The 27,415-nt window shown below is 45.5% G+C and overlaps 2 protein-coding genes and 1 long non-coding RNA gene across 10 annotated transcripts in view, besides 5 other annotated features; all 3 read left to right on the forward strand.

Annotated features, from left to right (window-relative positions):
* Positions 62-211: a silencer, noted in NCBI's record as "silent region_4510". NCBI's record gives its function as "represses an Ori minimal core promoter by ATAC-STARR-seq in GM12878 lymphoblastoid cells {active_cell/tissue: GM12878}" and the evidence as "EXISTENCE:reporter gene assay evidence [ECO:0000049][PMID:35858748]".
* PRR13 (proline rich 13) lies at positions 214-5,118 on the forward strand. Of its 2 annotated transcripts, none has more exons than NM_018457.4 (4): positions 214-272; positions 1,175-1,213; positions 1,871-2,253; positions 4,495-5,118. In NM_018457.4, exons 2-4 carry the CDS (start codon positions 1,195-1,197, stop codon positions 4,537-4,539), a joined length of 447 nt encoding a protein of 148 aa, NP_060927.1. In that variant the 5' UTR covers positions 214-272; positions 1,175-1,194; the 3' UTR covers positions 4,540-5,118. The 2 variants fall into 2 exon arrangements, with proteins under 2 accessions (NP_060927.1, NP_001005354.1); NM_001005354.3 differs by having other exon boundaries at positions 2,021-2,253.
* Positions 10,314-10,413: an enhancer, noted in NCBI's record as "active region_6422". NCBI's record gives its function as "activates an Ori minimal core promoter by ATAC-STARR-seq in GM12878 lymphoblastoid cells {active_cell/tissue: GM12878}" and the evidence as "EXISTENCE:reporter gene assay evidence [ECO:0000049][PMID:35858748]".
* PCBP2 (poly(rC) binding protein 2) overlaps positions 10,582-27,415 on the forward strand; it is a 29,061-nt gene continuing 12,227 nt past the window's right edge. Inside the window, exons 1-13 of one of the 7 annotated variants that reach the window (NM_005016.6) lie at positions 10,582-10,856; positions 13,206-13,349; positions 13,827-13,850; positions 13,941-13,973; positions 14,365-14,481; positions 17,752-17,883; positions 19,495-19,623; positions 20,961-21,047; positions 23,240-23,332; positions 24,412-24,453; positions 25,701-25,773; positions 26,285-26,323; positions 27,257-27,312. In NM_005016.6, the coding sequence (NP_005007.2) occupies positions 13,281-13,349; positions 13,827-13,850; positions 13,941-13,973; positions 14,365-14,481; positions 17,752-17,883; positions 19,495-19,623; positions 20,961-21,047; positions 23,240-23,332; positions 24,412-24,453; positions 25,701-25,773; positions 26,285-26,323; positions 27,257-27,312 (894 nt within the window). In that variant the 5' untranslated portion in view covers positions 10,582-10,856; positions 13,206-13,280. The remainder of the gene's footprint in view (positions 10,857-13,205; positions 13,350-13,826; positions 13,851-13,940; positions 13,974-14,364; positions 14,482-17,751; positions 17,884-19,494; positions 19,624-20,960; positions 21,048-23,239; positions 23,333-24,411; positions 24,454-25,700; positions 25,774-26,284; positions 26,324-27,256; positions 27,313-27,415) is intronic. The other 6 variants (NM_001128911.2, NM_031989.5, NM_001128912.2 and 3 more) reach the window with 6 other exon arrangements.
* Positions 10,594-10,693: a silencer, noted in NCBI's record as "silent region_4511". NCBI's record gives its function as "represses an Ori minimal core promoter by ATAC-STARR-seq in GM12878 lymphoblastoid cells {active_cell/tissue: GM12878}" and the evidence as "EXISTENCE:reporter gene assay evidence [ECO:0000049][PMID:35858748]".
* Positions 10,914-11,043: a silencer, noted in NCBI's record as "silent region_4512". NCBI's record gives its function as "represses an Ori minimal core promoter by ATAC-STARR-seq in GM12878 lymphoblastoid cells {active_cell/tissue: GM12878}" and the evidence as "EXISTENCE:reporter gene assay evidence [ECO:0000049][PMID:35858748]".
* Positions 11,064-11,313: a silencer, noted in NCBI's record as "silent region_4513". NCBI's record gives its function as "represses an Ori minimal core promoter by ATAC-STARR-seq in GM12878 lymphoblastoid cells {active_cell/tissue: GM12878}" and the evidence as "EXISTENCE:reporter gene assay evidence [ECO:0000049][PMID:35858748]".
* PCBP2-OT1 (PCBP2 overlapping transcript 1) lies at positions 22,948-23,537 on the forward strand. Its single transcript, NR_109828.1, has one exon. It is a non-coding gene; the product is annotated as a PCBP2 overlapping transcript 1 (long non-coding RNA).

Genomic DNA, 27,415 nt, shown 5'->3' on the forward strand with positions numbered 1-27,415 from the left:
CAGCGCTCTCCGCCTAGCCCCGCCCCCAGGAGATTTCCGGCTTCTCGGTACTGGCCTAGCCGTAAAGGGCTCCGCTCCGCCCCTAGAGCAACCGTTTCCTCCTCAGTCGGACCAGAGTGATTGATTAGTTTGTTGTCTAATCATCAGTCGAGCGGCCACATAATTACCAATTAGGCAGTAGCAGAGGCGGGTGCCGAAGCACGGGGTCTGGGTGACTAGGAAGAGCCGAGACTGCGAAGGAGAACGCAGCAAGCCCAGGCGGCGGTGGAAAGGTGATGGGGTATCTGGATTCCATAGGTTTTTCCTTTTCCCCTTGCTAGGTCAAGAGTCTCTTCGCAGCTTGGGGCTAGGATCTTCATTTGCCTTTTTTCTTTTTTGGAGGAAGGGGGCTGTGTCCACATATTTAAGTATTTGAGGTTCTTGGGCAACTTCCTTCTTACTTCGCCTCGAGGCGTATCCTTTTTTTAGCCTGAGGTGGGGTCCTCCCCAGGGAGAGAGAAAGTTGTTTGAGATCCTTTCTTACTCTGTGCGTGGTTAAAGGCCTCCGTACTCAGTTCCAGGGAAAGGGAGATGAGTGATGGTGGGGCCGAGACTCGCGGGTACTGCCTACTTCCGAAGAGTTAGACGCTTCCACCTGGGTGGAGGGGCCCTGGGAACTAGATTCCTGTGTTAGGAACCAAGTAGGTATTGAGGGCGAAGAAACAAGTGGAAAGAGACATTTCTTTTCTTTTCTTTTCTTTTTGAGACGGTGTCTTGCTCCGTCGCCCAGGCTAGAGTGCAGTGGCGCGGTCTCGGCTCACTGCAACCTCTGCCTCCCGGGTTCAAGCAATTTTCCTGACTCAGCCTCCCGAATAACTGGGATTACAGGTGCCCGCCACCGCGCCCGGCTAATTTTTAGATTTTTAGTAGAGACGGGGTTTCACGATGTTGGCCAGGCTGGTCTCGAACTCTTGACCTCGTGATCCACCCGCCTCGGCCTCCCAAAGTGCTGGGATTACAGGCGTGAGCCACCGCGCCCAGCCAGAAAAGAGACATTTCTTATGTGGAAGTTGTGGTAGTTCTCCAGGTAGGAGAGCCTACTGTGGGGTGGAAGACGTTAGGGCTGGGCTCCGGTGCTAAGTCCACTTCCTACCTCTAGACCGTCATCTTTTTTGCCTCATTTCTTTCTCCTCAGGCTGGAGGACACACCTAAACATGTGGAATCCCAATGCCGGTAGGTGTTTGGGGGTTCTGTTCCACCCCTAACCCTTTTTCTGATGGGCTCTATAACAGGAAGTTTCTGTATCAGCTCCCCTACCCCCGACCTGCTGTACCCGCAAAAGCAAAGTCCTTAGTCTAGAGCTGACCAGTGCTTTTTAATTTAATTTAATTTATTTATTTTTTGAGATGGAGTCTCTGTTGCCCAGGCTCACTGCAACCTCCGCCTCCTGGGTTCAAGCGATTCTCCTGTTTCAGCCTCTGGAGTAGCTGAGATTACAGACGCATGCTATCACGCCCGGCTACTTTTTGTATTTTTAGTAGAGATGGGGGTTTCACAATTTGGCCAGGCTGGTCTCAAACTCATGGCCTCATGAGATCTGTCCACCTCGGCCTCCCAAAGTGCTGGGATTACAGGCGTGAGCCACCGCGCCTGGACTGACCAGTGCTTTTGTCTTCCTCAGAGTTCACTGTCTCCCTCCTCTCCCTAGCCCTTCCAGGGACATTCCCCCTTTTCTCCCCAACTCAAGTTTGTCTCCCCTACCCTCCATTCTTCTTTGTCATCTTTCCGTTTCCCTTTAAGTATTGAGTGAGAAAGAATCTCTTTCTTTTTGTTGTTTGTTGTTGGAGACTCTGGGGAATTCTAATGTTTATTCTCTGCTTCTTCCACCAGGGCAGCCAGGGCCAAATCCATATCCCCCCAATATTGGGTGCCCTGGAGGTTCCAATCCTGCCCACCCACCACCTATTAATCCACCCTTTCCCCCAGGCCCCTGTCCTCCTCCCCCAGGAGCTCCCCATGGCAATCCAGCTTTCCCCCCAGGTGGGCCCCCTCATCCTGTGCCACAGCCAGGGTATCCAGGATGCCAACCGTTGGGTCCCTACCCTCCTCCATACCCACCGCCTGCCCCTGGAATCCCTCCTGTGAATCCCTTGGCTCCTGGCATGGTTGGACCAGCAGTGATAGTAGACAAGAAGATGCAGAAGAAAATGAAGAAAGCTCATAAAAAGATGCACAAGCACCAAAAGCACCACAAGTACCACAAGCATGGCAAGGTCAGTACCCTCTGGAGACTGGCTAGGGAAGGAGTCCCCCCTCAGAGGGACTAGGTAGGCAGGGGTTGGGTGAGGGGGATTCACATTCTGTGGACGTGAGGGATGACAATTGTGTCGCTCTGGTAGATGATTCTTCCTTTTTATAAAAGATTGCTACTGGGAAGAATCTGATTATCTTGAAAATAAACATCAGGCTTCTCCTATCTGGGGGGAGTTAGGGTGAGCCTTAGAATGGATTTTAGAATCAAAAGCCAAATCTTTTCTGCCCTACTCTCCCAGAACTTTTGCTCCCCTCCCGCCAGGTGCATATTCTAGCAAGTTGGACACGCCCACTGACATTGTCAAAATACCAAAGTCATTCCTTTGACAAAGCAAGGTCTTATAATAATTAACAGAATTAATCTGTCCCTAGTTCCAGAAGTTCCTTCTCTCTTTCATCAGTGTTCTTAGGGCGTTGTGTTAATTACATGGGTCCTTTGCCCTATCATCCAGCAGAAAAAGTGAGGACAAGAGCAGTCAGTGACTAGGCTTCTAACAAAGCCTAGGACTAAGGAGGTTTTTTTTTTTTTTTTTTGAGACGGAGTCCCGCTCTTTAGCCCAGGCCAGATTGCAGTGGCACAATCTCGGCTCACTGCAAGCTCCGCCTCCCAGGTTCACGCCATTCTCCTGCCTCAGCCTCCCGAGTAGCTGGGACTACAGGCGCCCGCCACCGCGCCCGGCTAATTCTTTGTATTTTTAGTAGAGATGGGGTTTCACCGTGTTAGCCAAGATGGTCTCGATCTCCTGACCTTGTGATCCGCCCGCCTTGGCCTCCCAAAGTGCTGGGATTACAGGCGTGAGCCACTGCACCCAGCCCTAAGGAGGTTTTATACTCAGCTCCAAGGCTAAGTATCTTTGTTTTAGAGGAGTGTTAAAAATTGGTAAGGGTGGCCAGGTGCCATGGCTCATGCCTGTAATCCTAGCACTTGGGAATTATTAGCTGGGTGTGGTGGCGCATGCCTGTAATCCCAGCTACTCAGGAGGCTGAGGCAGGAGAATTGCTTGAACCCGGGAGGCAGAGATGGCAGTGAGCCCAGATCTCACCACTGCACTCCAGCCTCGGTGACAGATAAGACTCCATCTCAAACAAACAAACAAAAAATAGCAAGGATAAAAGCAACTCTGAGGACAACTCTGGAAGGATTAAACCAATCTGCATCTTGATGAGGCCTCCATTTACATTTAACTGCCCAGTATTTATTTGCCTTGTGGATTCTAATTCCTGATTCTGGGTCTTTGATAGAAATCTGAAGAGAAGGCTGTGCGCCGTGGTCCACACCTGTAATCCCAGCACTTTGGGATTCCGGGGCGGGCGGATCACGAGGTCAGGAGTTCAAGACCAGCCTAGCCAACATGGTGAAACCTGTCTACTAAAGATACAAAAAATTAGCTGGGCATGGTGGTGCGTGTCTGTAATCCCAGCTACTCTGGAGGCTAAGGCAGGAGAATCTCTTAAACCCAGGAAGTGGAGGTTGCAGTGAGCTAAGATCATGCCATTGCACTCCAGCCTGGGCAACTGGGTGAAACTCCGTCTAAAAAAAAAAAAAAAAAAGGTCTGAAGAGAACCGAAGAGAATTGAGATTTAGTGGGGAAAAGCGGGAGAAATTACCCTGGAGAGACTGAAAAATGTTTTTATTTAATAACTAGCATTGCTGGGAGTATATGCTTAAGGAACCTTGAATAGAACTCCCAGCCTTTTCTTACACCTTCCCCACTTTTTCCCATTGTGCTTGGGAAAAAGTAGAGATACATGCACATACAACTGCTGTTTCTACTGTCTTTTCTTAGATTTGTAGAATCCAATTTCTTAAAATCATAGGACTTTGCACGCAGCTAATGAATAAGCATTGAAAAGGTAACAGCTGTTTCCTAGCACTATACTATGCTTGTGCCTGTAATTTATTCCTTGCCTAGGCATCGATTCAGGTAAAGAAAGTTGGAAATTTGCTCCAAAGGCAATATGTTAAATTTTTTAAATTCCGTGTGATAATTTAGGATGGTTTAATCCATTCCTGTATGCTCACTGCTGAAGGAAACCCTTGCTTTTGTTTAGGTACAGTCTGTTCAAGACTCCTGACCTTCTTAGGGAAGCAAGGGATACTTGGGTGGAGGGGTGGGGCACCAAAGAATGGCCCACGGAGTGATGAAAGGTCATTTGGATCTGATGCTATCTTCTTTCCCCTTTCCCCTTTCCCCTTGCAGCATTCCTCCTCTTCCTCCTCCTCTTCCAGCAGTGATTCTGACTGAATACAGGCCCTGGACCCTTCCCTCAAGTCTCACCAGTTCTGCTCTCCCATCAAGCTTCAGATGCCATGTTGTACTGGGGGAATGTAGCCCTTGTGCTCCCCACCCCCTACCTCCACCTGAGCCTCACCCTGCTGTTGAGCCCTGAGTGGCTAGGGGAAATGGGAAGAGGATTGCCATGGCCTGGCCATCTTGTTGCTGCTTGGTTAGATCATATAGCTAATGAATTAGGCAGGGGAGCTATTTTTTGAAGATGATGAACTAAATGTTGAAGACAAGTTTGAGATCTGTAAAATGTGATTTTTTACTTCCACTTATAATACTTGTGATTGGGGAGGTTTGTGGAAATTCAATTATGATGAAAAACCTATCTTTTTTGTAATGTTGGCATACTTGGGGAATTTAGTGGCAAATACATTCCCCAGCAGGCCTTTTGTTGGTTGCACTAACTGCAAGGTTGCTGGGAAGTAGAGTCCATTTGGTTGATGAGCTTTGACTGCGGTTTTGGAACCTTACCTCTCCTCCTTAGCCCAATATGCTGTCTTGGGTCCTATTCAAATAAAGTTATTTCTCCTGGTCTCAGCTCACCTGTGCTATCACCTTGGCTGGGCATGGCACATTCTACTACTTTTGCTAACCTTCCACAGACCCTTTAAAGTGTATCAGTTTCATAGAAGGGAACCAGAGCATCAGTGAGAAAGACACTGTATGATTCCCATGTTTTTTAAGTGGGAGGACTCTTCAAAATTGGCTCAGGCAGAGTGGCATGAATCTTTATTGTCTTCCCTTGGGTGAATGGATATAGGCCTTTAGCTTATATGTTTTCATATCTGCTACAGAGATTCTTAACCCTGGCTGCCCATCAGCTGTGAGAGAGTAATTTGGGGCTTTGCCCCAAATCTACTGAATAATACTTATTTTTATTTTTTTTTAAATTTTTTCCTAAAACTTTTTATTTTTATTTATGTATTTACTTATTTTGAGATGGAGTTTCGCTCTTATTGCCCAGGTTGGAGTGCAATGGCGCAATCATAACCTCCACCCACCAGGTTCAAGCGATTCTCCTGCGTCAGCCTCTCAAGTAGCTGGGACTACAGGCACCTGCCACCATGCCCGGCTAATTTTGTATTTGTAGTAGAGACAGGGTTTCACCATGTTGGTCAGTCAGGCTGGTCTCAAACTCCTGACCTCAGGTGATCCACCTGCCTCAGCCTCCCAAAGCGCTGGGATTACAGGCGTGAGCAACCGCACTCGGCTAAGACTTTTTAGATGTGTCCCTACAAATCAGTATATTTAAGAAACTGTGGGCCAGGCATGGTGGCTCACGCCTGTAATCCCAGCACTTTGGGAGGCCAAGGCAGGCAGATCACATGAGGCCAGGAGTTGGAGACCAGCCTGGCCAACATGGAGAAACCTCGTCTCTACTAAAAATACAGAATGAGCCAGGCGTGGTGGCACATGCCTGTAATCCCAGCTACTCAGGAGGCTGAGGCAGGAGAATGGCTTGAACCTGGCGGGTGGAGGTTATGATTGCGCCATTACACTCCATCTCAATCTGTGAGGCAGACGTTCAGTCAGAATTGGAGCTCAGACAGTCCGGCTTCTGAGTCTGTGCTCTTAACCCAGTGGCTTCCAGGCAGAAGCAGCAGTATTACAAAGGCACCAAGTTGTAAAAAGTGTACGATGAAAGTTAGGAGCTCCTGAACCTGAGTTCCTGAAAGCGGGAAATGAGGCTGCAGTTGGGGACATGGGGCTAGAGGAAGGAGTGGACTTAAGAGATGTTTCTGAGGTGGAACCCATGGGTTTGGGCACTGAGTGTAAGGCTTGAGGAGGAACAGGGAAGAAGGAGTGTTTTGAGTTGGCTATACTGCATCTATAGCTTTCCCTGGAAAGAGTTCTATGAAATAAATGCCTGAGGTTTTATATTTTACAGCTAGCTTCTAATTTAATTAGAAAATCCATGGCCGGGTGCAGTGGCTCACACCTGTAATCCCAGCACTTTAGGAAGCCGAGGTGGGTGAGTTTTGCTCTTGTTGTCCAGGCTGGAGTGCAATGGCGTGATCTCGGCTCACCACAACCTCCACCTCCTGGATTCAAGCGATTCTGCCTCAGCCTCCCGAGTAGCTGGGACTACAGGCACGTGCCACCACACCCAGCTAATTTTTGTATTTTTAGTAGAGATGGGGTTTCGCCATGTTGGCCAGGCTGGTCTTGAACTCCTGACCTCAATCCGCCTGCCTCGGTCTCCCAAAGTGTTGGGATTACAGGAGTGAACCACTGTGCCTGGCTCTTTCTTTCTATTTCACATTGTTCCTAATACAATTTGGGGGGTGGGAGGAAAGGAATTTTTGTCCTCAAGCCTAATTTTCCACTTGAGGAAGCTACCTCTCTTTAGATGACTCCATCAATTTGGGGCTGCCCAATAAAACGTGACTGAGAGTCAAGGGGTTAGCATGCAGTGGCATGTTCAAGGCTCACTGCAGCCTTGATCTCCCTGGTTCAAGTGCTCCTCCCACCTCAGCCTCCCAAGTAGTTAGTACTATAGGTGTGCACCACCACACATGGCTAATTTTTAATTTTTTGTAGGGACAGGGTCTCACTGTGTTCCCTAGGCTGCTCTCGAACTCCTGGTTTCAAGTGATCCTCCTACCTTGCTCTGCCTCCAAAAGTGCGGGATTACAGGCGTGCACCACCATGCCTAGCCATCCCTCTGTTTTTTTTATTTTTGATTGTTTGTTTCTTTGAGACAAGGTCTTGCTTTGTTGCCCAGGCTGGAGTGTAGTAGCACACTCACAGCTCACTGCAGCCTTGACCTTTCAGGTTCAAGTGATCCCCCCACCTTAGCATCCCTAGTAGCTGAGACAACAGGTGTGCACCACCATACCTGGCTAACTTTTGTATTTTTTTTTTTTTTTAAGACGGGGTCTCTCTCTGTTGCCAGGCTGGAGTGCAGTGGCATGATCTCAGCTCACTGCAACCTCTGCCTCCCAGGTTCAAGCAATTCTCCTGCCTCAGCCTCCCAAGTAGCTGGGACTACAGGCACACACCACCACACCCAGCTAAGTTTTATATTTTTAGTAGAGACTGGGTTTCACCATGTTGGCCAGGATGATCTCAATATCTTGACCTTGTGATCCGCCTGCCTCGGCCTCCAAAGTGCTGGGATTACAGGGGAGAGCCACCGCACCTGGCCATACTTAAATATTTCATCATGTACATCCTAAAAACCATTTCTTTACATAAGCATGGTTCCATTATTACACTTAAGAAAATTACAAATACTTCCTAATATCATCATTCAGATAATGTTTGAATTTTCTTTTCTTTTCTTTTTTTTTTTTTTTGAGACGGAGTCTTACTCTGTCACCAGGCTGGAGTGCAGTGATGTGATCTCGGCTCACTGCAACCTCCGCCTCCCAGGTTCAAGCGATTCTCCCGCTTCAGCCTCCCGAGTAGCTGGAACTACCGGCGTGCACCACCATGCCTGGCTAATTTTTGTATTTTTAGTAGAGATGGGGTTTCATGATGTTGGCCAGGATGGTCTCGATCTCCTGACCTCGTGATCCATGTGCCTCGGCCTCCCAAAGTGCTGGGATTATAGGCGTGAGCCACCGCGCCCAGCTAATGTTTGAATTTTCTCACTTGTCCCTTAAATGTCTTATGCAGCAACTTTTTTTTTTAAACTAGGAACCAGGCCGGGCACCGTGGCTCACGCCTGTAATCCCAGCGCTTTGGGAGGCTGAGGCAGGCGGATCACGAGGTTAGGAATTTGAGACCAGCCTGGCCAACATGGTGAAACCCCGTCTCTACTAAAAATACAAAAAATTAGCCGGGCGTGGTGGCAGGTGACTGTAATCCCAGCTACTCAGGAGGCTGAGGCAGGAGAATCACTTGAACTCGGGAGGCGGAGGTAGCAGTGAGCTGATACTGCGCCACTGTACTCCAGCCGAGGCAACAGAGTGAGACTCCGTCTCAAAAAAAAAAGAAAAAAAAAGAAACCCAGGATCCAAGCAAAAGCCACACATTATATTTGGTTGTTATTGCCTTAAGCATTTTTAAATTCCTGCTTTTGTTTTATTTACTAACTAAGAGATGGGTCTTGCTCTGTCACCCAGGCTGGAGTGCAGTGGTGCCATCATAACTCACTGCAGCCTTGAATTCCTCGGCTCAAGTGATCCTCTCGCCTTAGCCTCTTGAGTAGCTGGGACTACAGATGCATACTACCATGTTCAACTAATTTTTTTTTTTTTTTTTTGAGACGGTGTTTTGTTCTTGTTGCCCACGCTGGAGTGCAGTGGCGCAGTCTTGGCTTACCGTAAACTCCGCCTCCTGGGCTCAAGTGATTTTTCTGCCTCAGCCTCCCGAGTAGCTGGGATTACAGGCATGCGCCACCACGCCTGGCTAATTTTGCATTTTTAGTAGAGGTGGGGTTTCTCCATGTTGGTCAGGCTGGTCTTGAGCTCCTGACCTCAAGTAATCCGTCCGCCTCGGCCTCCCAAATTACTGGGATTACAGGTGTGAGCCACTGCACCTGGCCAATTTTTTTCTTTTTTTTTTTTCCATTGCTTTTTTGACAAGACCAGCTAGCTGTCTTGTGGAATGTTGTGGGTTTGCAAAATATCTCCTTGTGTTGTATTAAATTTCCTATAAATTGCAAATCAGATCTAATGACTTGATTAGATTAAGATTAAGCACTTTTGGCAAGAATATTTAATAGATGATGTGGTGTACTTGTTGCATTTTTCCAAGGACCACACGGTGCAAAGTTGTCCTACTATGAGTGATGCAGTTTGATCATTTATGTACTTGGGTAAGGTGGTAACTGCTAGATCTCTCCATTTGAAGTTGCTTTTAAAAAATTTGTTATTTTTGCTACTCGGGAGGCTGAGGCAGGAGAATCGCTTGAACCCAGGAGGCTGAGGTTGTGGTGGGCCGAGATTATGCCATTGGACTCCAGCCTGGGCAACAAGAGCAAAACTCCGTCTCAAAAAAAAATTTGTTATTTTTGAGACAGGCTACAGTGCAGTGGCCGTCATCATGGCTCACTGTAGCCTGGACCACTAGGGCTTAAGTGATCCATCCACCTCAGCCTCCTAAATAGCTAGGACCACAGGCATGTGCCACCACGCCAGCTAATATTTGTATTTTTAGTAGAGATGGTATCTTAAACTCCTGAGCTCAAGCGATCTGCCTGCCTCAGCCTCCCAAAGTGTTGGAATTATAGACGTGAGCCACTACCCCTGGCCCATTTGAAGTTACTTAAAAAAAAAATTACATATATATATATATATATATATATATATATATATATATATATATTTGCAAATCTGTGTGGTGATATTTGATATTTGGTGTCATGATAGTATCCCGTTCCCTAACAACCTTTCTCAAAATTTTAATGATTGATACACTTGCCTGAATCAATTATTTCATTCTGGGTTGCAAAATGGTGACTTTTCAACTCTCATTCCTTTTATTTCTTTCATTCCTTCTAGATTTATTACATGGAACTCTTTAAAAAAGAGCTTTCCCTTATCAATTACAGATGAACTATATACAGTTCTTCCTAAAAGGAAAGTTAAATGCTTAATTCTTTCCTTTTAAGAGTAAGGAGTTTATACAATGGTCACCTCTAACGTGGCAAGTTAGTTTTTTTCCTTTTCTTTTTTGAGTATCCCTGTAGATTACTATCTTCATCCTTTCTCTTTCCACCCATCCCTTTTTCCTCCTCTCCACTTCTTGATGCATGGCGACTGCTCCCTCTCCGCACTAACATCTGAACTTTCCAGCCAGTCCACTAGGGGCCACTGGTTTCCTTTCTGCCCCCACGCTCCCTCTCTATCGCAATTCGTCGCTTGCTAGCAGCCGTTGTCTCGCTGGTGCCTACGCTGTCAAAGGAGCCGCTCTAGGCTTTTGGGAGGCCGTCTGCATTGCGTGGGGAAGGCTTGGACGACGCAATCGCCTCGCCGGCCCCCGGGGTGGTTAGCGCTTCCGGGGTCGAAGGGTGCGCGGGGTTGAAAGCAGGCCGCTCCGCCCCGTCCCCCTCCCAGACCAGCAGAGGCAGCAGCCGGAGCAGCCGCAGCCTGCGCCCTCTCCCGCCCGCCCGCCCTCCGCCCGCCCGCCCGCCCTCCGCCGCCCTCCACCCGCCCCGGGGTCTCTTTCCCCCTTCCTCCTCCTCCTCCTCCACCCCCCCTTCCTCCTCCGCCCGCCCGCGGGGCCCCCCTCGCCTTCCCGCCCGCCCCTATTGTTCCGCCCCCGGCCTCCCGCCCTTCCCCTTCCCGCCCGCTCCCCTTTTCCCCTCAGTCGCCTCGCGCCTGCAGGTAAGCCTAAAAATTTCCCTTGCGCCCCCGGCTATGGCTACAATTTCCACTTTTGTCTTCTTCTTAGCCGGCTCGGGTCCTAGTCACGAGCCGCGGTCTCGCGTAGTCCCGCGTGAGCGCCTACCACCTCACTGTGCCAGGCCGGTCATTCACGCGAGGCCCTGGCTCTGGCGCGGCCTAGTAGGCCTCGCGCAAGGCCTATTCCCCCCTCCCCCCGCCTTTTCCCGGTGGCGGCTGCGCAGGAGTCAGGGAGGGCGCGCGCGCGGTAGGGGGGGCGGCGGTGGATTTGTTGGTTGTGGGGGGTTGGGGGAGGCGATGGCCGGCTTGCTGGCCGGGCGGGTGAGCGCGGCTCCCCGCGGGGGTCAGGCGCTGGCGCAGCCACACGGGGAGGCGCTATTAGTCCGGCCCCTCCCCCTGTATCGCAGCGCCCCCCCCCGACCGAACCGTTTATTTTTTCCCCCCTCTTTCTAGTCGAGGGAAGGGGGGGCTTTTTTTCTTAAGTGGAAAATGCTTGGATAACCGAGGGGAGAGGGGGCTGCGGAGTTAAAGAAAGGGTAGACGGGCTCCCAGTTGCCGAGTTAATCAGGACGTTTCTCGGGGTAACGAATTTTTAAATTACAAAATGCCTGCCGATGTAATCCCAGACCGAGCTATTTATGGAAGGGGTATTGGACAGCAGTGTTAGCAGCTGGATTGCTGGAATGGGGTACCTTTATCTTGACCTAGTCAGGAGGGAAATTCGACAAATTTCTTGGATTACTTGGTTTGGAGTTAGAAATGCATCTTTGTACTTTACCTCAAGAAATGGCTTCAAATAGGTTTCCTGTTTTGTTTTTTTTTTTTTTGCCTTTTCGAAGTTGCGTTATTGTGATATTTGTAAAGGGCTTCCTATTACATCTGCAAGAGGGTAAGGAATTAAACTACCAGGTCTTTACCACATCTTATTAAAAAAAGAAAGTCATTCTTACAGACCTAACGCTTCTTCCCCCACCAAGCACTATTTTTCCATGAGTGAAAAGTGTTGAATTCTGGGATTTTGCCAGCAATTAATTGTATTCTGAAAATGGGGAAATGATGTGCTTTGGGGATGCACTTATATAATCACTTACATTCTTGGAGTAGCCAGAGGACAGTTTGCCATATACAGAATGGTGTGACAGACACTTAAGCACCTAAGATATTTAGGGTATGGGCTTTGTGTTAGAGGAAAGTTAACACAGTGGCTGGTTTTGTGAAGGAGGAAATCTAGCTGTGGGAGGAGAGAGATGACATGTTGAGTTTTAAAAGGATGGATACTTAAAATGTCATTGGGGACATTCTACAACTTGGGAGAGGTCCTTTCTAAAGCTGTTACGATTAGGTGCTAAAGGAGGTATTGAAGGCAAAGGCATATCCAAAAAAACAAATTTTCTTTCTACACATAACTAGTTACTCTAAAGCAGAAATGTTAGGAACAATGTTAGGAATTGTTTCATAGGTGGGAAAAGGGCCATCTTGTATAGGAAAGGTGCATTTGCTGCTGTTCTTAAAAACAAAAAATTTTAGCAATGCCAGTTTTATTTTGATTGTTTTCTTTGGAAGGAAATTTAAGATTTAATAGACTTGAAATAAAAACTGGATGGTAAACACAAAAGCAAGGAAAACATCTCAAATCTGAGTAACAAGTTGGGTTGGAAGGAGGAATAGGAGAAAAAGACTCAAGTGTACTTAATGTATCGAGTCATTTTCTAAAGGGGAATATGGAACCCCAGCCTGCGTGGAAGGCATCTCAGATAATGCCTTTTCAGTGAGGGTGTTGATCTAAATCTTTTAGAAATCATTTGGTGTTAGCCATCAACGGTTGAAATTTGTAATGTGGGATACATCTCAATTTCCTTATCTACAAATTGCTACTACAAAGAAAATTTACATGTGTTCTCTCTAGTTTTCAACTTAAACTGCTCCCCAGCAGGGAAACAAAAGGTCATTTGCCCTCGCTGTAGTTGGAGATTTGCACTCATGATTTCCAGGTGTTTCTGAATTCTTTGAAGCTTTTTCTGCTGAAGGACAAGTGGTGCACGTTCAGCAGTTTCCTTAGAACCATTGCCAATTGAAAGAACCTTGTTCATCCTGAGAGTCAGCGGAAACCCTGTCATTAATGAGAGGAACTGGAAAGTTGCCTTCTATACTGTGTAACAGAACCTGAGCTGTATATTTTGTCATGCAGTTGTGCTTGGTGTGTATATAAGTCTGACATACTGTCATTTAAGGAAAAGTGTAAAGTAGAAAATATTGATAAGGTGAAAATAACTTGGGAAATAATAACCTTGTTGTTTTCCTCCTCTGATTTTGGTCATGTTTGCATTTTAGTTTTTGGCTTTCACCCCCAACCAGTGACCAAAGACTTGACCACTCAAAGTCCAGCTCCCCAGAACACTGCTCGACATGGACACCGGTGTGATTGAAGGTGGATTAAATGTCACTCTCACCATCCGGCTACTTATGCATGGAAAGGTATGCTCTAGCTTGGGAAATGGGGTCATAGTAACTGCTAGGGGAGGGGCCAGGAAGAGCAGACATGCATCTTGGAGCTCATCAGATTAGCACTGTGGGGCATCTGGCTTTAGCACATTTCCCTAATGGAGTAGAAGTGAGTGTAGTGGGAAAATGGACAGACTTGACTAGGAAGCTCCACTGAGCAGGAAAGGCATAATTAGAGGCTGGAGCCAAAAACTCTCCATACCTGGATGGTAAGGTTTTTCTCATGGTGATTGCTTATAGCAAGTCCACTCCCCCCAATAAATCTTCAAATCTTTCCAATCTTTTGGGGTAATAATTAGCATAGATAGCAGTCTGTTGGCTAGACAGTTAAAATTCCTTTTCATAATGAATACTTCATTAGAACATGTAGAAAAAGGAAAAATAAAATATATTTTTAAAAAGGAATACTTCTGAGTTTCCTCTTACTGACGTTAGTTTTCTCCATTGCAGGAAGTTGGCAGTATCATCGGAAAGGTAAGACAATTTCACTTCAACTTCAATTACCATTTAGTAATTCTGGATTGAAGTAGCAGTTGGAGCTCATGCTTGACTTTTCCTTTACAGAAAGGAGAATCAGTTAAGAAGATGCGCGAGGAGGTAAGTTATGAAAGACTGAGATTGTTAACTTTGGGAAGTAAAAAACCTTTAAAACAAGTGAAAATTCTTTTTCAGAAATTAGGAAGGTCTCAATAAGGGAAATATGTATTTTTTTTCGGCTTGGTTATTTGTAGTGATAATCTGGGGAGTGTATTTTTTTTTTCCCCTTTTTGGGAAGTGTGGTTTTGACAAGTCAGAATTCTTTCAAGACTTAAGGCAGCTGCTGTAGGCTATCTTTGAGGATAGTCATGGAGCAGTAGTGTTTGGAATGATGCTGACTTTGCTTTGCATCAGGATCATGTACATTGGCAGTCTTATAAGGGACTGTAGATCCTGTACATACTCAGATCTTCTTTGTTTTAACTTCTTTTGGATCTTGTTTCCTATCTAGAGTGGTGCACGTATCAACATCTCAGAAGGGAATTGTCCTGAGAGAATTATCACTTTGGCTGGACCCACTAATGCCATCTTCAAAGCCTTTGCTATGATCATTGACAAACTGGAAGAGGTTTGTTGTCTCCCACTCCCTCATTCTTCATTTTTAAGTGCTTCCAGAGAGCTTGTTGATTTTCTAAGAGCTTTTTAAATTCAAGGACACACTGGACCTTGAGACTCGCTGTAAATGGGTCCTTAGCTTCCTGTAGCCTCCCACAAAATTCGAGCATTTGTAGTTTAAAAAAGAGTCACTTGAGGCTGGGCGTGGTGGCTCATGGCTGTAGTCCCAGCACTTTTGGGAGGCTGAGGCGGGCAGATAAACGAGGTCAGGAGTTCGAGACCAACATAGTGAAACCTCGTCTCTACTAAAAATACAAGAATTAGCTGGGCATGGTGGTGTGCGCCTGTAATCCCAGCTACTCAGGAGGCTGAGATAGGAGAAACGCTTGAACCCGGGAGGCGGAGGTTGTGGTGAGCCGAGATCACACCACTGCACTCCAGCCTGGGCAACAGAGTGAGACTCTGTCTCAAAAAAAAAAAAAAGTCACTTGAATCATCAAAACAGTTTGAGTTTTGCCATGGACTTAATATAAATAATTTGCGTGAAAAGCATCTGTTGAAAGTATGCCATTGCTTTGGTAAAAGGCTTGAGTATATACCAAACTAATATGGTTTACCTGACGTTATAAACACAAATAATCTTCCAATCCTGATGATTTTAGGTTAAAAAGTCAATCTGCTAACATTGTGTCAAAATTACATTTGTTGGGGAGAGACCTAGGTTATCAGAAGGAAAATACACCGGAGGTTTTATCAAGAGTAAGTTTTTCCCCCACCAACCTTCAGAGGCTGAACTGTTGTCCTGGGTCTTGTATTCAGTCCCTCCCTCTCTCCCTTCTGCATTAATGCATCAGTTGGGCAATTGATATCACAGGCAGAGGAGTGCTGCTTCCTTGGTGGTTGGTACTTAATGGTGCATGAAATCTTATCTTTGCCAAGATTAGAAATGTTACCTTTTGACCCCCGGGATTCTGGAAGTCCAGAACTCATGGCTTAGAAAACACGTTTTATTCTTTTAACTAGAATGAACTTGAACTAGTTCTTTTTTATACATCATAGTATTTAACTTTTTTTTTTCTTTTGAGGCAGGGTTGTGCTCTGTCACCCAGGCTAGAGTGCAGTGATATACCTGTAGCTCTCTGCATCCTCCCAGGCTCAAGTGATCCTTCTGCCTTAGCTTCCTGAGTAGCTGGGGCTACAGGTGCATGCCACCCTGCCTGGATAATTTTTTAAAAACGTTTTCTTGTAGAGATGGGAGCTTGTTATGTTTCCCAGGCTGGTCTCAAACTCCTGACCTCAAGTGGTCCTCCTGTTTCGCCTCCCAAAGTGTTGGGATTACAGGCGTGAGCCACCATGCCCAGCCTGGAATTTATTTTTTTATTTTTTTATTTTTTGAGACAGGGTCTTGCTCTGTTACCGAGGCTGAAGTACAGTTGTGTTACCATGGCTCACTGCAGCCTCATCTTCCCACCTAAGCCTACCCAGTAGGTGGGACCACAGGCTTGAACCACCATGTCTGGCTAGTTTTCATGGGTTTTGTAGAGACTGAGTCTTCCTGTGTTGCCTAGGCTCGTCTTGAACTCTTGGGCTCAAGCAATCCTCCTGTCTCAGCCTCCCAAAGTGCTGGGATTACAGGCAGAAGCCACCATGCGTGGCCTTTATTTTATTAAATTTTATTTTTTTGAAAGAAAGCTAGAGTACAAACTGTTTATTCCTTAACCAAGGAATAAACATGTCCTTGTCTTTAGGGGTCTTAAGTGCTTAAGCAGTTTCCAGGTCTCTAGTTATCAGCCTAGAGATTAGGCTAATAAGTGATATTTAAACCGCTTAATCTTCAGAAGGCTAAATTTAACTAGATTAAAACCATGATTTTGGATGCAGCACGTGTTTATGGGAAAGACTATAGGCTTTGAATCAATACAGTCAAATCTATAGGTTTGTTTTTTTTGTTTGTTTTGAGACGGAGTTTCCTCCTTGTCGCCCAGGCTGGAGTGCAGTGGTGGGTTCCCGGCTCACCGTAACCTCTGACTCCCGGGTTCAAGCGATTCTCCTGCCTCGGCCTCCCCAGTAGCTGGGATTATAGGCGCCTACCACCATGCCTGGCTAATTTTTGTATTTTTAGTAGAGACGGGGCTTCACCATGTTGGCCAGGCTGGTCTCGGACTCCTGACCTCAGTGATCCACCTGCTTTGGCCTCCCAAAGTGCTGGGAATACAGGCCTGAGCCACCGTGCCCCGCCTGTTTTTAGTTTTCTAACAGGGTAGAATTGATGTAAATAGGGTTGCATTGTTTTATATCTTTCGTTTTTGTTTTTGTTTTTGTTTTGTTTTGTTTTGAGATGGAGTCTCATTCTGTTCCCTAGGCTGGAGTGCAGTGGTGCAATCTCAGCTCACAGCAACCTCTTCCTCCCGGATTCAAGCGATTCTCCTGCCTCAGTCTCCCGAGAGTAGCCTGGACTACAGGCGCATGCCACCACACCCAGCTAGTTTTTGTGTTTTTGTAGAGATGGGGTTTCACCATGTTGGCCAGGCTGGTCTTGAACTGCTGACCTCAGGTGATCCACCTGCCTCGGCCTCCCAAAGTACTGGGATTACAGGCATGAGCCGCCGTGCCCGGTCTGTTTTATATTTTTTCTTAATATTCGATTTGACTTAATTTTTTTTTTTTTTTTGAGATAGTCTCACTCTGTTGCCTAGGCTGGAGTGCAGTGGCACGATCTTGGCTCACTGCAACTTTGCCTCCTGGGTTCAAGCGATTCTCCCGCATCAGCATCCTGAGTAGCTGGGATTACAGGTGCCAGCCACCATGCTTAGCTAATTTTTGTATTTTTAGTGGAGACGGGGTCTCACTATGTTGGCCAGGCTGGTCTTGAACTCCCTGACCTGAAATGATTCACCTGCTTCAGCTTCCCAAAGTGCTGGGATTACAAGCTTGAGCTACCGTGCCTGGCAGTATTTGATTTAATTTTGACATCATCTTTTTTCCCCATTGCCTGGCCAAGTGTAACTGCAAAACAGATTATTACTTTTATCCTTAGCAAGTACATTCCTTCAGGGTGAAGGAAAATATATTTATGGCTAATTTTGAGGAATTTTTCATGAGCTTTTATCTTTACATCAAAAATAGTTTGAGAGGGGCATGGTATTTGAACCTTTTGTCTATGGTGGATTATGACCTCGCATGTCCTAATAAGATCACTTACCCTAATAAGGGTAAGTGGTTCTTTAATGGCAGTTACTAGTTTCCAGGGATCTGCTTATTGTGGTGTTCTTTCTTTCTGTAGGACATAAGCAGCTCTATGACCAATAGCACAGCTGCCAGTAGACCCCCGGTCACCCTGAGGCTGGTGGTCCCTGCTAGTCAGTGTGGCTCTCTCATTGGAAAAGGTGGATGCAAGATCAAGGAAATACGAGAGGTTAGTGACTTTTGTCGTCCTTTTAGAAATGTTAACTATTTGTTCCAAATTGGCTCTTTGTATGGCTAGGAAAAGTTAGCAATGAGATGAAGATTTTTATTGAAGTAACAGTTCTAGAGGATTACAATGTGATTGTACTGAAAATAAAACTCATGCAATAGAATTATTTTGCATAATTCATAAATTTTAATAAATCAGAACATGAGAATGTTAATCAGAATTTTCAACTATTACATATGACAAGTTTCTATTTTTTTTTGGCAACTTTTCCATGAGGCTACATAGTTCTTTTTCATGTCTCAAGGGATGAGTTTGCTATAGTAGCAACGGTTTTTCTATTTTTTAATTTTTAACTTTTTTTCTTTTTTTTGACACGGTCTCACTCTGTCTCCCCAGGCTGGAGTGCAGTGGCGCAGTCATGGCTCACTGCAGCAAAACATCGACCTTCCCAGCCTCAGGCGATCCTCTCATCTCAGCCTCCCAAGGAGCCGGGACTGCAGGCTCCCACCACCACACCCAAATTTTTGTATTTTTTTGTAAAAATGGTGTTTTGCCATGTGGCCCAGGCTGGTTTCGAACTCCTGAGCTCAAGCAATCCACCCACCTCAGGCTCCCAGTGTTATTACTACAGGCTTGAGCCAGCACACTTGCTTGCCTGCAGCGTCATTTTTCTTGACCAGACTTATAAACAACAAGGAGAAAAATAGGAAGATGTATTGGGAAATAGATGTAATTCTACATCTTTTTTTTTTTTTTTGAGACAGGGTCTCACTCAGGCTGAAGTGCAGGGCATAATCGTGATCATGGCTTACTGCAACCTCGACTTCTGGGCTCATGTAACCCTCCTACCTCAAGCCTCCTGAGTACCTGGTACCATAGGCGCGCTCCACAATGCCCGGCTAATTTTTCTTCTTTCTGTTGTTGTAGAGACGAGTCTCACTGTTTTGCTCAGGCTGGTCTCCAACTCCTGAGCTTCCGATGATTCGACTGCCTTGGTCTCCCAAAGTGCTCGGATTACAGATGTGAGCCACTGTGCCTGGCCCCTACTTCCTGTTTAACTATGGAAGTTACGTTGAATTATGGAAGATTTTAATTGTATCTAGATGTTACTGAATTTGGTGTTGGAATGAAACTCGAATGGCTGCTTGAGTTTTTGGGAGCGTATCGTACATGGCACGACAGAGATCTTAATTTTGTTAATTGCTATATTCGAAGCACTTCTCATGGTACCTGGCACATAGAATGGCCTTGATGTAAATATTTTTTCAGTAACATAATGAAAGGTGGGTGATACTTGTGGGGCTTTTGCTTCGCCCAGAGAACTATCATTAGTTGAAAGGCAACTATTTAGAAGGACCTTTTGCTTGAGAGTAGGTTAAATTTAGGCTGTTATTCACGCTTATTCTTGTCTTTCAGTGGCTAATTTATTTTTAACTCTAATTCACTAAACAGTCCTATCTGGAATAAGGGAAGAGTGGGACAAAGAACAAAAAGGGAAGATTGGAAATGGATAAATATCTACTAGAGTTTTAGGCTCTGAAATTGCTGCTGGAGGAATTGGAAGAGCATGAACTGTTTTTCTCTGATTTTGAATTTCTTTTTACTCCAAAGAGTACAGGGGCTCAGGTCCAGGTGGCAGGGGATATGCTACCCAACTCAACTGAGCGGGCCATCACTATTGCTGGCATTCCACAATCCATCATTGAGTGTGTCAAACAGATCTGCGTGGTCATGTTGGAGGTAAGCCCTCAGGCTCATGCTGAAAATGGGGGGAGGGCCATTCTGGGGACAGAGGGACTGATCTATATTTAGTAAGACTAGAATTAAGTGAGGCTGTTAAGGCTTCCAGTGGGGGTGGGGCTAAAAGGTTCCCTGAGTTCATATTTTCCTTCCCCTAGCTTTGACTTTTCTTATGGTCTGTGAGCAAAAATAGAAACTGCTAAGCAGCAGTGATCTTTTGGTTCACAGCAGTTGTAGCAGAGTCGGGGAGAAGATGCACTGCATGGACTAAGGAGGCCAGAGATTTATTTGAGTTCCTGAGTAGCTGAGTTAAATTACTTTTTGAATTACTGTATTTTGGTTACATGGAAATTTGACATGTTCTTTAACAACTTGTCACTTTGTAGGAGGGTATTCAAAGTGTTACATAGAGTAGAAAAATGTATGTATGATGATGTTTCCGAATGACTTACAAGGTCCTGATTATACACTATTATTCTATTAAAAGAATAGCAAAATTCAGGAAAATTAAGCCTTTTCAGATTTGTGATATGGAGTTGGTTTCATTGGTGAGAAATGAAACGAATTTTTTCGTGTGTGTGTGTGTGTGACGGGTTCACTTTGTCACCCAGACTGGAGTGCAGTGGTGCAGTATCGGCTCACTGCAACCTCTGCCTATCAGGCTTAAGCGATCCTCTCACCTGTCTCCCCAGTAGCTTGGTCTACAGGCATGCGCCACCACACCTGGCTAATTTTTTTTATTTTTTGTAGAGACGGGATTTTGCCATGTTGCCCAGGCTGGTCTTGAACTCCTGAGCTCAAGCCATCCACCCGCCTCAGCCTTCCAAAGTACTGGTATTACCAGCATGAGCCGATGCACCCAACCTGGAAACTGGAATTTTCAAGTAGAGATTAGAAAAACCTTGATTGAGCCTTTGAACTATTTATAGATAGTGTCTGTATTATTCTAGACATAACACTTGAGTACTTTATTTGCAGTTTTGACCTTATTTCCTATTCAGGCCAAAAAAATGTGAGATACTAAAAATTATCAACAAAAATATACGTTTAACAGTTTTTCATGTCCATTAAATTTATCTAAAATTTTGGAAATAGTGCCGAAGATTATTACATGGACATCTCCCTTGATGAGAATCAGTTTGAATTGTGTAGTCCTTGGACTTACTGCATTAAAGGCAAATAACTTTCAGTAGATAAATTGAGATTAGATCTAGCCAGAGACAATTTGGTAGGTAAGGGGATGGAAATAGTTTTTAATTTAACTGACCTGTGTGAGCTAAAGCCACACAGCTGAAGCAGCTTTGAAACCTTATCTCTTTTTGTTTTTTTCCCCTCTGACTCTCTCCCAGTCCCCCCCGAAGGGCGTGACCATCCCGTACCGGCCCAAGCCGTCCAGCTCTCCGGTCATCTTTGCAGGTGGTCAGGTAAGAAAATTCTCATTTGTGGGCTAGAATGAACAGAGATTATATTTGAAATGTCAACTTTGCCAGCATCACACCAAGCCACTCTGCATGCTTGCTGAAACCTATACTCTGGCCATAGTTTGACCGGCTTTTAGTTTTATTTTTGTACTGGAGAAAGCTGAATGCCTTAATTTTTAGCAGGCAATGGAAGTTTTGTAGGCACTCGGAAGAGGTAACTTACTTGTGGGTTGGGTTAGAATATAAGAGTTGAATTGACTTACTGTCTCTACTTCTCTCCCTGTCCCCACCCCATCCATGTTTTATGTGTGTGGGGTGATATTTAGAGGTCTAAATAAAAGGTAGCAAAGAGTTGGACCTCTGAAGGAGATTCTGGATGGTGGTCTCAAAATTTGGGGGTCCTGAATTTGAGTGTCCTACAAACTTCCCCTTCCCTCCACCTCACCTCCCCTACTCCTACCCCTTCACTCCCAAACTCCAGTGTGTTGTCCCCTAGGCTCTTAACCTCATAAACACTGGTTTGAACCCACATGGCATAACTGAAATCAGCTGGGGTAAGAGTTCAGTGTGCAAGAATAGAAGGGGGGTGAGCATGTTGGGCTGTGGTGCCGTGACCTTTGGTGTTAGAGTAAGAACACCAAAGCACCACCGTGGCCTCTCTGCTCCTTCCTCATCAACCTAAACTCTTGATCTTTGGCACGTGGACTATTCTGAAGTTAGATTATTATGACAGAAGCATTGAAGGACCATGGTAGTCCTATGCTCTGATTGTATTTGAGGAGTAGGTAGATCAGGTTTTAAAATACAGTTGGCCCTTTGTGGGTTCCACCTTCAACCTACCTCAGATCAAAAGTATTCAGGGAAAAAAATGGGTGGTTGTATCTGTACTGAACATGTACAGGCTTTGTTTTGTCATTAAACAATAGAGTATAACAAGTATTTACATAGTATTTACATTGTATTAGGTATTATAAGTAACCTAGAGATGATTAAAATATGTGGGAGGATATGCTTAGGTTATATGCAAGTACTATACCATTTTATGTAAAAGACTTGAATATCCATGGATATTTGTTTCTATGGGGGGAATCCTAGGACTAATCTCCCACCAATAACGTAGGGACACCTAGGGACAACTGCATTGGGATTCAGGTTGAAATAGTGACTGATTTTGGTAGCTGCCTAAGCAAGTGCGTTGCTCAAAACACCTTTTCCCACTTGGGGCTGGTCTGTTACAAGCATATTTAGTTAACTAGTTCCATCTTACCTGCGTTTGATCTGGGAGCCATTTAGAGGGCAAGCATAAACTTGGGAGTCCATCTCTTTCACATTGTGTTGAATTGGCATAAAAATGAACAAGTTTTTAGAGGTTTAGTTTGTCGTGTAGTTATGAGAGGTTTCACAGGAAGGTCGGTTATGTCACAGTGTTAACCTTGAGTCAGTTTAGTACCTTGCTTTTAGAAAAGTACAAACTGGTTTGTTCAAAGGGCTCTCAGTCTAGTTAGTCAGAGTTGGGCAGGATAAGCAAAGGCCCAGAGTCAGTGTCGCCAGAAGGATTTAGCCTTAGGAGTTTTTCTTTCCCAGGAACTCCAGGTTCCTGCTCTTCTGGATTCTCCCACTCCCCCTTTGGAATAGAGTCCCATACTGGGTGGCAGCAATCCTCTGTACTTAAAATTCTTCCTTCACTTCCTTTTTTTTCCACTCCCCATCACACCTCCCCCTTCATACCTCTTTGCTTCCCTACCCACCCTCCCTCCCTCCCTCCCCTTTATTTAGTTGATGACCACCGTCTAAAAATTTGCAGCTTCTTCTATGAGTGGCCCTGTCATGGATTGTTCCCACAGGCCTTTTTAAATATACAATGTCCACAGATGGACCTGTGTCTTTTGTTCCTTTGTGGCAAAGTGGGCTCTGTAGGGGTTCAACTTAATCCCACACTGACCAGGAGCTGGCATCAGCTCTGTTGCCCCACCCCTTCATTCTTATTGAAAATAGCCCAATTGTGCAGTGTGAAATCTGCCACTAGGTAACTTTTTTTTTTAATTCACTGATTACAGCTCGTTTCAAATTGTGTCTGAGCTCCTTTTTAAAGGAAAAAGGAAAAAAATAAACAACTTTTTTTGTGTGAATTTCATGCTGGTGACAAGGTGCCGGATTGACAGCCCTGGAGACTGAAATCCTCTATTTATCCACAGGACAGGTACAGCACAGGCAGCGACAGTGCGAGCTTTCCCCACACCACCCCGTCCATGTGCCTCAACCCTGACCTGGAGGGACCACCTCTAGAGGTGAGAGGGGATGTTCAGTCTCCAAGGCTCACTCAATCCTTCCGCCTCAGCCGAGACTGCCAACACACGGGGGGCCAGTGGCGCTGGTGATTTTTGGTGCTGTGGACACCACCTGTCCACGGGGACCTGGACTGACCCCCCCAACCTCATTTCACCCAGGCCGCGTAGCCCACCAGATGGTAACACCAACTTTTTTTTTTTTTTTAATTTTTTTTTTGTTCAACCCCTCTTCCCCTCTCCCACTCCTCCCACCCCATTTTCACCTTCCTTCCACCCCCACCTGGGTGTACTTTTGGGGGTACTGGCCACTGTGATGTGAGAAACTTCACATCCTGTTAACCAGCCACTCCTTCCATCCCCTCCCTCCCTGTTCCCTTTTCCTTTCCTCCTTTTCCCTACCCCATTGCCCTGAAGACCCAGCTCCCTTTTTGGGAGGTTATGTTGTGGGGGGGAGGAGGGCATAGTGGGAGCTGCAAATGCCTATGGAGGGGAGGTGGGAGAAGACAGGAATTAGAACCCAGTGGTTTTTGTTTACCTGTGATCAGCTCCCTACTGTTAGGGACTCAGCTAGCATCCAGTGTTCTTAAGGTCTTTAGGCAGATAGAGAAATAAGTTGGAGAAAGGGAAGTGTTTTAAAACATACCATGTAGGTTTGTGCAGTTAGAGATCTTCCACATCACCACAATTGGTAGAAGGGTTGGGGTGGTGAGGGAAGAGATCATTATTCCTCCTAGGCTATCTTGTATACAGGGAGGAAGAGTGGGGCTTGGTCAGTCGAGGCATTGCTAATCTCACTTCCCACATTTTCATTAAGAAACAGTTATGTATATTTTGCCTTTGATTGCAGGGAACTTGGCTACCTTTATAGGATTCCCCGGAACAAAGTCATATTTAGGGTTCAAAGAAGGCCAATTTGGGTCTGACCATATTTGTGAGATTCCATCTACTGCCTCAATCTCTGGCCTCCCCCATTCTCTAGTTCAACTCTGGCTTCCTGGCTAGTTGAAATGTCTTTTTCCCCCCACTGGGTGGCTGTCCGTGATTGGTTTTTAATAGGAACTGTTTTCCTCCTTTTGTAGGCCTATACCATTCAAGGACAGTATGCCATTCCACAGCCAGATGTAAGTTTTGTTTTCACTTCTTGTTTTGAAAAGCTCCCTCTCCCATCCAAAATTGTCTCACTCCTCTCTCCCAAGTAGCCAGAAGTGAGTTGGGTCTTCAGCATTTGCAGTATTAAGTTGTTTTCTTCACAAGGTCAATCCCATATTTTAGCCCTTTAATCAGGGTAATGCCTTGTTTGCCTTTTAACATTTAACCCCTGAAATTTAATTCAGCACATTAGCTTCTCCTTTCCCCCTGTGTTTCAGATTACCCTGTTTCTAAAAGGGAAATGTTCCATGGTATACTGTGATTTGTTATCTCAGGGCATAGTTTAAATTGACATTGGGACTGTGCTTCCTTGCATGCAGTTCTCTTTTCCATGAGGGTAATGGGAGGTTGGGTTTGCCCTTGGGAACTCCTCAATCTGAGATGACAATTTGAAAAGTATTTGGAGGGATGGGGAAGGGGCTTATGTTACACAGAGAGGGATAGGAACCTGAACATTTCAGAATTCAACTCAAACCTTTCTTGCTGCTAAAACCTCCTATTTAAAAGTGCCGGTATTTAGACTTCAAGGGCATTTTTTTCTGCACTTTTCTTTTATCCTTACTAACCTTTTCAGGTGCTGAGCATTATTAGACTTGGGAAGTTGAGTTTCGGTCTTGGTTAGTGGTAGGCCCCAGGAGAGAGGGAAGTAGACGTGAAGAAGGATTATTTTATGACAGTCAGGACAGTTTATATAGATGAATAAAAATAGCTGTAGTAGTCAGTGGTGGCGGTGATGGGACTAAACCCAGTATGGTTTCTTCACCTCTCTCCTCCTTGCAGTCTCCCTGCCCCCCTCATCTCCTTCCCTCTCCCCAATACTGATGAAACCCTGCATGGTGTGTTTTCCCTAGCACCACTGCACAGTTTGTTTACCTAGCCTGTCTGTGCTTGTCCCTGCGGCAACTGTTGCAATGGCTGCAAACTACCTTCATTAAGTAGCCTCCAAGGGGGATGGTCGTTGGGCAAGTGCTGTTGCTTTTCTATTCCCACACCCAAAAGGCATTCATTCTCTTCCAGGCACCCATTCTATTTCTAACCCTTACCCTTCATATTCTGCCAATCCCCAGGATTGTGATGCAAGCCCCATCCCTACCCTCTGTTGTAGTTTGAGTAGTAGAGTCAATTTTGGGAATCAGGACCTGCATTTTCAAATTCGAATGTGCTTGAGCCCTGGCTCTGTTAAATCTTCTAATGCCAACCTCCTGTTTCCTCCTTGCAGTTGACCAAGCTGCACCAGTTGGCAATGCAACAGTCTCATTTTCCCATGACGCATGGCAACACCGGATTCAGTGGTATGGATACCTCAGTGTTTATTTCTGTAAGGTGTAGTGCAAGAGAGAGGCCAGTCCCAAGGTCTCAGCTTGACATCTGTTTAAAACAAACTTCGTTATCCAGCATCCTGCTGGTTTAAACTTGCCTGTCTACTATGGCTAAGCCCAAGGAGGTAATGTGTTTGTTAACGTGGTTTTCATTTGGGGTCAGTTATTCTAAAAGAAAAAAAAAGCCCTGGAAGGTTTGGGGGTGAGGTTTGGGGATGCTTGTCAGGCAAAGGGTAGGCTGATATTTCTTTGAGCCCATCCTGACTGCTGCCCCCTTGATCTGATCAGCACCCCCTTTCTCTCCACCAGCAATTCACAGGCTTGGGTAGAGACCATCCATTTGTGCCAAATTGTGTAGTGTTTTTTTTGTTTTTGTTTTTGTTTTTATTTTGTTTCGTTTTTGGGGCTTTTCTGTATAAGGAATAACTTGTCCGATAGGGTTAGGATGAGACCACCAAACTCATTTTCACTTGTATCTTAACAGGCATTGAATCCAGCTCTCCAGAGGTGAAAGGCTATTGGGGTAATGATTAAAAAAAAAAAAATCTGTAGTATTCTACTGTTATATTAATAAACTGGTGGGAGTCTTGTTTCACTGCCCATGAACCATACCAGCAACATGCACATGGCAGAGAGGAGCTGAGAGAGCAAAGGGGTGGGCCTGGAGCCCCCGAGGGTCCCTTGATGGATCTGGCCAACCCCCTTCTAAAAATGATGAGACAGCAGCCATAGCTGAGATCAGGACTAAGCTTGAGTGTTAGCCAGCTGGCCTGGTTCAGTCCAGGTGTTGTTAAAGATGGGTACGGGTATTTGCTGATGGGATTTTTTTTTCTTTCTTTTTCTTTGGAAAACAAAATGAAAGCCAGAACAAAATTATTGAACAAAAGACAGGGACTAAATCTGGAGAAATGAAGTCCCCTCACCTGACTGCCATTTCATTCTATCTGACCTTCCAGTCTAGGTTAGGAGAATAGGGGGTGGAGGGGATTAATCTGATACAGGTATATTTAAAGCAACTCTGCATGTGTGCCAGAAGTCCATGGTACCCATTAACAGGCATAATATTGGCACTGGTGCTAGTGAGCATCAGGTGAGATACAATTTGGAACACAACAGGAAAGGGGTAGAAGTACAGAAGGACTTGTTTAGACATTGGTCCTTTTTGAGGATACCACACTCCCTTGCCCTTGCTTCCATCCCCCATCCCTAATAGGCTGGGCTTTGCAGGAAATGGCATGAAATCAGCTCTTCTGAGTGTACAGAAGAACCTTTCGAGCATTATTTCTACACCCTTCTCCCCCACTCTTTCCTCTTTGGAGGCTTCCAAGTTAGTGATGAATCCCAACAGCTAATGATGCTGGGTTTCCAGTTTATTTCCTTCTGTTAGTTTAATGTGCAAGTCAGTGAGGTTTTGAATGCTGTGCATTGAATTTGCTTGCTCTCTTCTGTCTTTTAGCAGGTTTGGATGCATCTGCTCAGACTACTTCTCATGAACTCACCATTCCAAACGATGTAAGTGTAGTTAGGTTGCATGGGATGAAAATAAGAAAATAGACTGTAAAGAAATAGATGTCGTTTCAGCAGTGTCCTGCTACCCTTTTTTTTTTTTTTTTTT

This window comes from Homo sapiens, chromosome 12, assembly GCF_000001405.40.
Source record: "Homo sapiens chromosome 12, GRCh38.p14 Primary Assembly".
Classification (NCBI taxonomy): Eukaryota; Metazoa; Chordata; class Mammalia; order Primates; family Hominidae; genus Homo; species Homo sapiens.

Excerpts from the sequence above, each read along its gene's own strand:
- PRR13 (NM_018457.4), top strand. Across the intron at positions 2,254-4,494 it reads AGTACCACAAGCATGGCAAG|CATTCCTCCTCTTCCTCCTC; the intron begins GTCAGTACCCTC and ends TTCCCCTTGCAG.